The following is a 13,341-nucleotide window of genomic DNA, read 5'->3' as shown; positions in this document are numbered from 1 at the left end:
ACCAACATGATGAAACCCCGTCTTTACTAAAAATACAAAATTAGCCGAGTGTGGTGGCTCATGCCTATAATCCCAGCTACTCGGGAAGCTGAGGCAGGAGAATCGTTTGAACCCAGGAGGCAGAGGTGGCAGTGAGTCAAGATCTTGCCATTGCATTCCAGCCTGGGCAATAGGAGTGAAACTCCATTTCAAAAAAAAAAAAAAAAAAAAAAAGAGGAGGTATCCAGTAAATAATTGCTGAATGCATGACGACCTCAGCATATCATGCAGCCTATCTAGATTGTAGTTTCTTGATGTACAAACAGGGGAATTAAGAGTCTCCCAAGTCTTTTTGGGCAGCACTTTTTCACTAAACAACTTGTTAAAAACTCCATGGTCTGATAGTTTTGGGACAGAGGTTAGAATCCAAAGACTGTGCTTCTTTCAGTGGTATATTCTTTCCTACTTCAAATCTTTACAATATCCTCAGTGAGAGACAGACACAGGCTTCTTGGATTTGATGTTTACCAAAAGGCTTTAAATATCCTCTCCTTCTTTTCTATATAAAAATACATGTATATAATTTTCTCCACTTCCTCTTGATTAAACACAGTTCTTCTTTCTGCCTTTCTGGATTTTACCCCCAACATATTCTTATGATAAGTCAACCAACTTTTTATAAACCACTGAATCTTTGTGTCATTTGGTGTGGATTGCGCCTCACAGTGTTTCTGAGAATTTCCTGACAATCGAGGTTCATTACAGCTTTCTAAATTAGGTATCCTCCATGTGAGAGCATAAACAATTGTTCTCAGAGCTGGGCTAGCATTCTGTCTTTGCTGGATCTAAACGTCTGTGTGTTTCTTGAGCAAACATGTGCTCCTTTCTGCTGTAATTTTAGTGAACTTTTTGCCAGTTCCTGCAGATCTTACATTCTGTCTGGGTGACTAATGATATCTTCCCTTTTTTCTTGAGCCGTGCTATGATTTCATCACGTAAGTGGTAGCTTGGTTTCTCTCCTTGAATACTCAGAATGTTGCCTTTTATATGGATTGCCGCAAGCATCAGTAGAATGGGATCTGAGTTGTAATTTATTTGACCTGTCTGAGGATGGAAAAGCAAGGCACATTTCTGATGACAAGGAAGTTTTGTTTCTTGGAAAATGTTATTCTAAGACCAACTATAAACATTATCATCCCTTCAGAATAACATAAAGAGTCGGTGAGATAACCCCAAATGGCTATTTAAATCAGGCAAGTAATAGAAAACTAGTGAAGAAAGCTGAGAAGAGAATATGGTGAAAAAACACCTCAAAGGGCTAGCCACGTTTGAGTTAGACAATCTTTGGTATGCTGAACCACATGAACCCAGTATTGCCAACGCTTCTGATTTTTCAAGAGAAAGTAGAAATGTAGATTTTAATATGAATTTTTCTGATTTTCAAAGATTGACAATGAATTAAGCTGAAAACAGCATTATTTGAGTGCTGAACACATGTCTGTGGCCAAAGGCTATTAGTTTGTAATCTCTGGTCTGTATCTTCTAATAAATTTTTTTAGGTGAAGTTATTAATTAAATAGAATATTTAATTTAAATATTCTCTTTAAATTAGTTTAAATATTTAAACTATTAAAGTTTAAACTATTTAATTAGTTTAAATTAAATAGAATATTTCCATTTTCTGCTAAGTTTTCATGGAGAAATGCATCTCTCAGGATAAAATGTTCTCCAAAGATATTTCCATTTGTTTCAGAATCTAAAAGGCTTACGTCAGTTGCCTGTGACATTCAAGACAGTATGAGAGATGCAGAGCTAAGGCATCGTCTTCCCCTTTTTTCAAGGAACTCATTATTTAGTTAGGAGAAATAGACAGAATACTCTCCTCCCCATAAAGTGCTATTTCTTAAAAACATGGCAAATGAAAATGTCAGGAAACTATCTGTAAACATTATAAAAATTGTTTAGGAATTCATGGCTGGGCATGGTGGCTCATGCCTGTAATCTCAGCACTTTGGGAGGCCAAGGCAAGAGTTTTGCTTGAGTTCAGGAGTTTGAGACTAGCCTAAGGAACATGGCGAAACTCCATCTCTACAAAAAAAAAAAAACAAAAAAAAAACTTAGCTGAGTGTGGTGGTGTGTGCCTGTAGTCCCAGCTACTAAAGAAGCTGAGGTGGAAGGATCACTTGATCCCAGGAGGTCAAGGCTGCAGTAAGCTGAGATTACACCATTGCATTCCAGCCTGGGTGATAGAGTGAGACCCTGTCTCAAAAAAAAAAAAAAAAAAAAAATTCAAAGCAGAGTGGTGAGATAATGTAAGGCTGTGTTGATCAGCGTAGACATTATGAAGCAGAAAGCATGGATTTAGACATGGATAAAAGGACAGGAGAGAATTGCAGAGAGGGAGCAAAACTGCAAAGAAGGGATTGCGTGTGACACTATTTGTGAGTAAATGAGAGAACCAGTCTTTTGGTAGTTAAAAGTTTAATGTTGGGAGTAAAGTGGTAAAATTTGCATTCTAAATCTGGCACACACAAAAAAATACTTTTGAAAACAGGAAATATGAAACCAAAGAATTTGGGTTGTCTAGTCCTGGCTACAAAGAGGAACACATAACCTTTTTAGGCTATTGCTATCTAATATTAATACTTTAATCTGAATTAATTATTTTCCTTTAGACTTCGTGCTCAATAAGCAATTCTCTGATTCTCACTTGACATTATAGTGAGATTGGCCATAAAAGACAACACCTTGATCACAGAAACTTTTGATTTCTATTATTTTGACCCAGCTGATTTTACTCTTTTCTCCAAGGATGTTGACACAATTAACTATGTATTACATACATATAATATATATGGGGGTATGTGTGCATATGTGTGTGTGTGTATATATATACACACATATGTATGTATTTAGTAATATAATGTTGCCAAAATATTATTTTCCAGGTAAAAATTCACTAAGCCAGCTTAGTGTTTACTTATCTCTGAAAAGCAGTCAAATAATTTTGAATTCTTATCTTTTACCATTTTTGTCTTACTAAAATTATTTTCAGTGGGCTCAATTAATTTTACTATGGATTTTACTTGATTCCTTCTGAAATCCAAATTAACTTTTTATCAGATATAAGTTCTTTCATTTACAGTTTTCTCTTTTATAGTTATTATTTCTACGAAGTCTGATTTTCTGAGGTCAAAATTTGCTACTCTAAATTTTATGATGTTTGATTTTTTCCTATAAATATTTTGATAATAACAAAATTTATAGGTTAGTCTAGCTATTTATATTTTTATCCTATGTTATCTCCATTAAATCTATTTTTGGATTTCATAATATTATGAATTAGACAAGAGACTATTAGCTTGTGTTTATTTCTTATTAAGTCTATGAGATAATGGTCAAGTTTCCTCCAGACATTTCTGTCTGGATTAGATTTCTTTTTATTTTAGGATTGAAAAATTCGGTTATTATGCTGCAACAAGCATATGAAAAAAGCTCAATATCACTATTCATTAGAGAAATGCGAATAAAAATCACAATGAGATACCATCTCACACTAGTCAGAATGTCTATAATTAAAAAGTAAAAGAATAACATGCTGGTGAGGTTGCAGAGAAAAGGGAATATTTACACACTGTTGGTGAGAGAGTAAATTCATTCAACCATTGTGGAAAGCAGTATGGTGATTCTTCAAAGAGCTAAAAGCACAGCTACCATTTGGCCCTGCAATCTCATTACTGGGTATATACTCAGAGGAATAAAAATCACTCTAGCATAAAGCAAATGTTCATTGCAGCAGTATTCATAATAGCAAAGACATGAAATCAACCGAAGTACCCATCAATGACAGATTGGACAAAGAAAGTGTGGTACATATACACCATGGAATACTATGCAGCCATAAAAAAGAATGAGATCATGTCTTTTGCAAGAACACGGATGGAGCTGGAGGCCATCATCCTCAGCAAACTAACTCCTCAGCAAACCAACGTAGGAACAGAAAACCAAATACTTCATGTTGTCACCTATGAATGGGAGCTAAATGATGAGAACTTATGAACACAAAGAAAAAAATAACAGACACTGGGGTCTACTTAAGGGTGGAGGGTGGAAAGAGGGAGAGGAACAAAAAAGATAACTATTTAGTACCGGGTTTAATACCTAGATGATGAAATAATCCGTACAACAAACCCCTATGACCTGAGTTTACCTGTTTAACAAACCTTCGCATGTATCCCCGAACCTAAAATAAACATTAAAAAAATTATATTATTAATCAATTTTTTTCCATGAGCTTCTAATCAGATTATATACCATGCACTCACTGTCCCTGACATGGGTGAAACAGAGAATAAACAACAGGATCAAAGTAGAGGGACTGAAGGTACCGCTTCATGGCCAGCTACCTTAGACACCCTGGTTTTATGTGGTTATCTTGGGCTCATTTGTTCAGCAAGTATTTATTGAGAACTTACATGATAAGACACAACACTTTGCAAATATAGGGGCGAGCGTGTTTCCATAAACCCTGTGCTCATGGAGCTCTCAGTTCAGTGGGGAAGACAATACAATGGTCAATTACCATAATGTTTGATGGATATTATGATAAGAAAAATGCTAGGTGCAATGGGAGTGCAAAACCGAATATAGCCTGAGGGCCAGGGAAGCCCCTCTAAAAGAATGATGTTGGGGCTGAGGGCTGCAGGATGAACAGCAGCCAGAAGAAAAGAAAGAAGATGTGGTGGACAGTAATAGCATTCCAGGAAGCTCTGTCATTGCTAGAGCCATAGAGTGGCTCTCCACTCTCCTAGTGGATCAAATGAGGTAGGAGGAAGGGAGAGATCAGATCATACAGAGTTTTGTAAGCTAATTTAGAGTTTGAAATTTACCTAAACCACACTATAAAGCCATTAAAGTATTTTTAAAAGAAGAGTGACATGAGAAACTCTAGAACAGTATGGAGAATTAGTTAAAGACCAGAGGCTGGAAGCAGAGCGGCCAGTGAGGGTTGGCTACTATTGTGAAGGCAAGAAATGACATTGCTGTGGCTAGAAGAGTGAAAGTGAGAATGGAAGGAGTAAAGTATCTTGAATAATATGTATTTATTTATTTATTTTTATAATTTCAAATTTTATTTTAGATTTAGATTCAGAAGGGACATATGCAGGTTTGCTACATGGGTATATTGGGCGATGCTGGGGTTCAGGATATGAATGATCTTGTCACCCAGATAGTGAGCATAGTACCCAACACTTAGTTTTTCAACCCTTGCCCCCCTCTCTTCCTCTCCCTTCTAGTAGTCTCCAGTGTCTATTGTTGCCATCTTTATGCCCATGAGTATCCAATGTTTAGCTTGCACTTATAATTGAGAACATGTGATATATGGTTTCCTGCTTTTGCATTACTTCACTTATGGTAATGGCCTCCAGCTGTATCCATGTTGCTGTGAAGGACATGATTTCATCTTTTTCATGGCTGCATAGTATTCCATGGTGTATATGGACCACATTTTCTTTATCCAATCAGCCACTGATGACCTAGGTTGATTCCATGTCTTTGCTATCATGAATAGCACTGTGATAAACAACAAGTGTTTGTGTCTTTTTTTCCTTTGGCTTTATACGCAGTAATGGGATTGCTGGGTTGAATGGTAGTTCTGTTTTAAGTTCTTTGAGAAATCTCCAAACTGCTTTGCAAAGTGGCTGAACTAATTTACATTGAATAATTTGTAAAAGGTAAAATAGATTTGACACTTGAATAGATGCAACTGGGAATGGGTGAAGCAGGAAACAGAGTTTGCCTTGCACAAGGGAAAATTGAATGAAAGGTTTGCTAATGTAGAAATCTCTAGAAATATTGGGTTTGGGGAATAATATAATAACAGGTTTAGAAATGCATGGTTTTGTGTTTCCATGAGATAAGAGTACATGTTTAGTGGATAGCTGGAAATAAGACTGAGGCATTCTTGAGGGAAATGACTCCATATGGCAGATAATGAAAGACACAAGCATGGATAAGGACACCATGGGTAGATGAGAATTGTGGGAAAGGCATTGGGCCCATGGCCAAACTCAGAATCACCAGTGCCTGAAGTTCAGGTAGAGGAAGGTAACTCTACAGAGGATAATGAAGTGTGAACAGAGGTAGGAAGAAAACCAGGAAGGAGTGATGTCAGGGAAATCAAGGAATGATAAAAGTGCCAAAATTCTGCTCAAAGGTCAAGCAAAGTTGAAGTCCAAAGGAAGATGTGTGTTTGATTTAACGACATGTTGTTGGTAATGGGATTATGGTGGAGCAGGAAACCGGATTGAGGAGTGAATAGGATATGTGGAAGTGAAAACAATGAATTCAAGAAGTTTGCTTGAAAAGAAGCACATGAGAAATAGAGCCACAGCTGCTGTAGGACAAAGATGAAGATGTTTGTTGTGAAAATATACATGGATATATTTCAAGGATGATGTAAAGGAGTCTCTAGAGATGGAGAGGATGAAGTTATAGAAAAGAATAAGAGGTGGGGAGTTAGAAATCTACAAAGGAGAAAGCATTGGGAACCAGAGCACAGTTGTGGGATGACCCTTAAATTTCAAACAAACAAGTTCTTATCAGTTATCCTCATGGCCCTCTGAAACCCAACTTGACATTTTTCTCTTGGCCTCTGTGCTCAGATTCTTAACTGTATCTTTTCTCTAATTTGGAAACACTGGAAATTCTGACAGAGCCTCCTCCTCTCTCTTTTCATTCTCAATCTCTATCTTAAATTCTGCTTCCCTTTGCCCCTGTGAATCCATAAATATGTCACTTCTCCATGTTTCTCATCAAAGAAGATAGATGCTGAAGCCAGATGGCTGTGGGTTTAATATGGATGCCGTCACTCATTTTTGTTGTTTTGCTTTAAACAATAACCCAACCTCTCTGGCCCTGGTTTTCTTATCCATAAACATGAATACACACACACACACACACACACACACACACACACATATATGTATATATGTGTGTATATATATGTATATATATATGTGTGTGTATATATATATTATATATATGTGTGTGTGTATGTGTGTGTGTGTGTGTGTGTGTGTATATATATATATATATATAAAAATACACACATACATATATATATATATTTGAGACAAGGTCTCACTCTGACACCCAGGCTGGAGTGCAGCCTCCTGGGCTCACGTGCTCCTCCTCTCTCAGTATGCTGAGTAGCTGGGACCACAGGCATGGGCCACCACACTTGATAATTTTTAATTTTTTTTTTTTTTTTGAGACGGAGTCTCCCTTTGTAGCCCAGGCTGGAATGCAGTGGCACAATCTTGGCTCACTGCAACCTCCGCTTCCTGGATTCAAGCTATTCTCATGTCTCAACCTCCTGAGTAGCTGGGATTACAGATGTGCGCCACCACTTCCAGCTAATTTTTGTATTTTTAGTAGAGACAAGGTTTCACCATGTTTGCCAGGTTGGTCTTGAACTCCTGAACTCAAGTGATCCGCCCACCTCAGCCTCCCAAACTGCTGGGATTATAGGCATGAGCCACAATGCCCGGCCAATTTTTAAATGTTTTTGTAGAGATGGAGTCTCCCTGTGGTTCCCAGGCTAGTCTTGAACTGGTTGCAGTCCTCTCGCCCCAGCCTCCCAAAGTGTTGGGATTACAGACCCGAGCCATGGTGCCTGGGCAAAGTTATAATTTTTTGAAAATTAAATAAGAGAACATTGTGGGCCTTAAGCGTGTTTATTTCCATCTATTCCTTTATAAAAAGAGTTATCTCTCTCAGTCGGCAATCACCTATGTGATTTATGTAAGCATCTCTGAGGTTCTCTTTCAGTCTCATTCAGTTCTCATTCTTATTTTATCCTAATGTTGCTTTTTTCCTCACAATACTGGTCATCCTACAAGTATCAACCATTATGGATCATCTGTTGCCACCATTTAAATCAAAATTTTGGGGCAGGAAGAAAGAAAGCTTGAGGGTGGGGAGGGGAGAATTAGGGCCAAGTTGTTTCCAAATCTGTACTCATAAAACGTAGCTAAGAATCAGGCAATAGCATAGGTTACATAGAAACAGAAACTCTAAATCCTGATTTCAACACTGGAGGACATATTGACCATTTTAAACAATATTGTTTGATCTTGTTTCTTATTTTACAAAACAAATATTGCAAGTCTTTAGTAAGGATTGGTGGAACTTGTGAATTAAAAACAAGAAACTCTTGAAATGAGAATTGTGAACCTGCGATAAATTTATTTCTGTGCATAATATGTTGATTTCTTAAGTGGGAGCAGCCAAGGACCTGTTAGCATAAACAAATATCTCATAGAGAATCATTTGTTTGTCGTGTGGTCCAGATCAAATCCCATTGTTCTCAATGGGAGTAGGAATTTTACACATCACAGCTTCTACTAACAGAGATGTTAGTAAAAGCTGCATATAAATAATGTCTTCAAAAGTGATTTTACAGGCAACAGAATTGGCCACTCGTCCCATTTTTAAAACTCTGGCTTACTTATGGATGTACCAGTTCATTACATGAATACTCACTTCAGTTCATAATCCTTCTTTTTGATAATTAACCCATGTTTCCATATAACTTTAAAAGGGGATCTTCAACAGCATTTTATGTAATATTTCAACTCCGAGGCTATAGAATAAGCACTTGAGTGTTCATGATAGAAGTCCCTATTGAATTAGAAGCAAAGTAGAAAGTCTTGACTATTCCTCTGGCCATTTTGCTGGAGACCATTGAAATGCTGGAGAGCCTTCCTTCTGGCACTTTTATTGAGGGGAGCAACTGTTCTAACTCAAGATAAATAAAGTCAGAAATGGAAGGGAAAAATTAAATCCTGGAAAATCAGAAAATAAAATGTAGGAAAAGCAGCTCTAGTGCATGACACTACAGAGTGTGTCAAGCTGTTTTTGTTTAAAATAACACACAAAATGCAACTTTAAAAAGTACGTAGGTGTTGAAAAGCATTTCCTTTTTGGGGTGGGTGTGGTTGGCTTCTATTCACTCCCTCCAGAGCTGTGAACTCTCTCTAACTTGGAGACTCGTCTCCTCTCACTACATCTCATTTCCAAACTTCAGGAAAAACGAGGTGTCAGACACTGAAGTGATTTCAATTTGGCTAACAGTTCTAGAAACTAAACTACTGATTGCTTTGTACGTCTCTGTCCTGAACAGAGCAATTGAACACTACGTGACTATTTCAGAATAGAAAATTCAGTCAATGGCTTTCAAAGTAATTGGAAAGTCCTTAAATTGGCCAAACTCAATGTCGGTTACTTTCATCCTGTCCTGCACACATTGCCCTGTGAAATTATTTCGGGATACCCAAGCTCTATTTTCCACGTCAGCTCTGATTTGTAGTTGCAAACATGTTCTCTCTTTTCCTCTCATTTTTTTCCTACATCTATGTACTCTAAGAGCTATCATTTTTTTCTGGATTAAAATTATGGAAAAGGGATCTTGGTAAGGCAAAAAGGCTGCAAAAAGGGTGAGAGTATATGAAATGCTGCTGAAAACAGGCATCCTTGAAAAAACACAGTTTTAGAGAAAGAGGGCAAACTCATGGTCCGGATGTCAACTTGAGATTTGCAGCTCTCCGAATCTGAATAAGTTTGTCTTGAATGCCCTCCCTAGACTTCTGTGTTTCTGAGAGGGAATTCGTGCCATCTCACAGTGACCTCTCATTTGGACCTTTTGCCTCTACTGAGTTATCCTTTTTGGCTTTGTGTCTTACAGTGTTTGTTTATCTCTCCAATGGTGTCTCCCAGAGGTGCATGCAGCCACTGTTCCTGATTTCTACAACAAATCTATTTGCTAAGAGCCTTCTTATACACAGCAAACTTTGACAAAAGTTAGAGATTTAAATTTTAGGAGCAGAAAAACATTACACAGACTGTTAGACATCTTCATTCATAAAGATCCTGTAGCAAATCTCCCATGTTTCTTGAACAAGAGAACTCCCTTCTTGCCACCCTCTTCTCTTCTTTTGACTCTTTTCTGCTCCTTCTCTCTAAGGAGAAAAAAAAGTCCTCCCATTTTAGGTATTTCCAACCTACATTCCTACATAAAAGTGCCCTTTTGCATATCCAGCTATTTAGATGATGATTTGAAATTTCCTTTTGTTTTTTAGAATATTTAGAAGAATCTTTAGATTCTTCCAGGTACTTAGTGGGAAACAGGATGGGAAGTAGGGTTGGGAGAGAGGGGATCTATACATCTTCTTGTCTGTAATAACTGAGGACGTTGTGTAAGTAGTAATATAGTCCCAGTGTTTACCCCTCTAGCGTGGTCTTTATCACCCTTTCCCATACTCTCTGTACTCCGAGCACCCTGGCTTTCTACTCACTGTGGTAGGCAGTGTATTGGTTCTCAAAAGACACTCACATACTAATATCTGGAACCTGTGACTATGTTCCATGGCAAAGGGGAAATTAAAGTTGCAGATGGAATTAAGGTGTCTAATTAGAAGACTATAAAATAGGTAGATTAACTACTCCAGGAAGGCTGAATGTAATCACAAGGATCTTTGATGTGCAGAAAATTATGCAGAAGAGCAGATCAGATTGACGCAGTTTGATAAGGATTCAGCCCACCATTGCTGACTTTGAAGATGAAGGAGAGGGACCATGAGCCACAGAAAACCAGCAGCCTCTAGGAACTGGAAAAAGCAAGGAAATGGATTTTCCCCTAGAGCTTCATCCTCCCTCCCAGCACAAGGTCTTAGCACTGTTTCATCTTCCCAGAAGGCTTTTCCCTCTTCCACCCTGCTTCTAGGTATGAAAATTCAAGTTTTAATTTACTACATCAATGCTTATGCTTATTTTCTCATTTATAATATTGATGTTATTCTTTTAAAAATATTTCTGGAAAATGCATATATTGTTGTTTCAGTTGTCAGAGACAACTATAAAATTGTCTATCAATTGTACAAATTCAGGCTGGGTGCAGTGGCTCATGCCTGTAATCCCAGCAGTTTGGGAGGCCGAAGCAGGTGGATCATTTGAGGCCAGGAGTTCAAGGCCAGCCTGGGAAACATGGAGAAACCCCATCTCAAATAAAAAATACAAAAATTAGCTAGGCATGGTGGTGTATGCCTGTAATCCCAGCCACTCGGGAGGCTGAGGCACGAGAATCACTTTAGCCTGGGAGGCAGAGATTGAGTCAAGGTTGTACCACTGCACTCCAGCCCGGGCAACAGAGCAAGACTCTGTCTCAAAAAATAAAAATGTACAAATTCAATTTCATCATTTCTGCTTTTGTACTTAATATTTAATTTCAAGTATTTTAGTATTTTTATGATAGTTTTTTATTTTGAGATAATTTTAAACTTAGGTAAAACTTCAAGGATTATACAAAGATCTCCTGTATATATCATTTACACCAGACTTAACAGTTATTGCATTTTGCCTCATTTCTTTATGAACATGTATGTGTATACACATATATAATTTTTTTTCTGAACTGTTTAGGAGCAAGTTGGAGATATTGTGCCCTTGCACTCTGAAATATTTATGCATTCTCTTACAATGATCAAAATCAGGATATTTAACATTGATACAATATTCTCACTTAATCCACAATGTATATTACATTTTACCTTTTGTCACAATGCTGTTTTATAACTATTTTTTAAATCTTGAATCAAAATCCATAAGGATCATGAATTGCATTTAGTTGTCGTGTTTCAGTCTACTAAAAGACTGGGAATACAGGTCTTCAGTCTTACCTTTTCTTTCTTGACCTTGTCAATGTTTAAGATTGCAGGGCAACTGTTTTGTAGAATTTCTATCAATCTGGGTTTATATGATGTTTCTTCATTATTATATTTAGTTAATGCATTTTTGGCAAGAATACCAAATAAGTGATGTTGGGCTCTTCTCAGTGCATCATGTAAGAAACATATAATGTTGACTTGTCACAGTACTGGGGATATTAACTTTAATCACTAAGTTGAGGAAGTATCCAATAGATCTCTACTCTCTGAAGCAATTTTGAGGAGATGCTTTCCAGTTTTGTAAATGTCCTGTTCCTCAATGAACTTTAACTACTCAGTTTTATCATGCATTCATGTTTTTCTAATTCTGTGGCTCCTTATGGATTTATTGGTTGGCTTTCCACTATAAAGAAGAGCTTTTTCTTATCATCTGTCTATCTATCTGTCTATCTATCTAACCATCCATCCTACCTGTAATGAGTCAATATTGACATTTCCAATTCCAATCCAACACCATACATTACATTATCATTTTAATGCTTTCCATATTTACAATGCCCTTATCCAACAGTTGAGAAAATTGTCTCCATTATCCTTAGTAGATTTAGTTATTTGCTCAATAATAGAATACATAGAGTATAAATTAGAATTCCTAGCTTCAAATTCTGCAAAAAAATCACCCAAGCATATTCAATAGAGTTCAATATTGTTTATGTTCTGTTTCTTTTGGTGTGGCATAAAATTTGCATATAGTAAAATGCACATATCTTAAGTGTACAATTCGATGAATTGTGATAAGCACATGCAGCCTTGGGATCTGAACTCCTATGAAGATAAACAGCACATCCATCCCCTGAGAAAGTTTCCTGTCTCCTTACCAATTAATACTCCACCACCAAATGACAACTGCTTTTTAATTTTTTCCGTCATGGAGTAGTTTTGCCTATACTAGAACATCATATAGATGAAATCATAGAGAATGTATTCTTTTACAGCCCAATGTCAGTGAATTTCATCTATGCTGTTATAACGATAGTTCATCCTTTTTTAAAATTAAGGATAATTCATCTTTTTTTAATTCTGTTTCATGACTGTACCATAATTTTGTAATCCATTCCCTTATCAATGAATCTATATATTATTTCCAGTTTTCCAATGTGAGATTATTATGAAAAGCATTTTTATGAACATTGTGTTCAAGTCTTTACATCACACATACACATATACATACACATTTGTTTATGTTGGGTAAATATCTTTTAGTGTAATTGCTGTATCATAGGCTAGGTGTATGTATAACATTATGAAAAACAGCCAAACCATTTTCAAAGGTGGTGGTGGTTGTGTCATTTTCACACCCATCAGCTATGTATGAGAATTCCAGTTGCTCTGTCTTCTCAACAACTTTGGTTGTGTTTGTCATATTAGTTTTAGCCAGTCTAATACATGCAAAGTCGTATCTTATTGTGGTTTCAATTTGCATTTCAGTGATGACTAGCGACGTAGAGAAATCTTTCCAATGCTATTGGCCATTCATATAGCCTCATTTTTGACAAGTTCATTCTAATCTTTTGCCAATAATTCATTGAGTTGTTTGTAGAAGTTCTTTCTATATTTTCTACACAAGACATATGCA

General features: G+C 36.8%; 1 long non-coding RNA gene across 2 annotated transcripts in view; it reads left to right on the top strand.

The window, feature by feature from the left end:
• Positions 1-13,341, top strand: part of LOC153910 (uncharacterized) — a 111,435-nt gene that overhangs the window by 30,825 nt on the left and 67,269 nt on the right. The window contains exon 2 of one of the 2 annotated variants that reach the window (NR_027311.1): positions 10,529-10,765. The exons of the other annotated variant lie outside the window; for it this stretch is intronic. This is a non-coding gene — a long non-coding RNA (uncharacterized LOC153910). The remainder of the gene's footprint in view (positions 1-10,528; positions 10,766-13,341) is intronic. 2 annotated transcript variants of the gene reach the window in all.

Source organism: Homo sapiens, chromosome 6, assembly GCF_000001405.40.
Source record: "Homo sapiens chromosome 6, GRCh38.p14 Primary Assembly".
NCBI classification, from domain to species: domain Eukaryota; kingdom Metazoa; phylum Chordata; class Mammalia; order Primates; family Hominidae; genus Homo; species Homo sapiens.
This window is presented reverse-complemented; position numbering and strand designations above follow the sequence as displayed.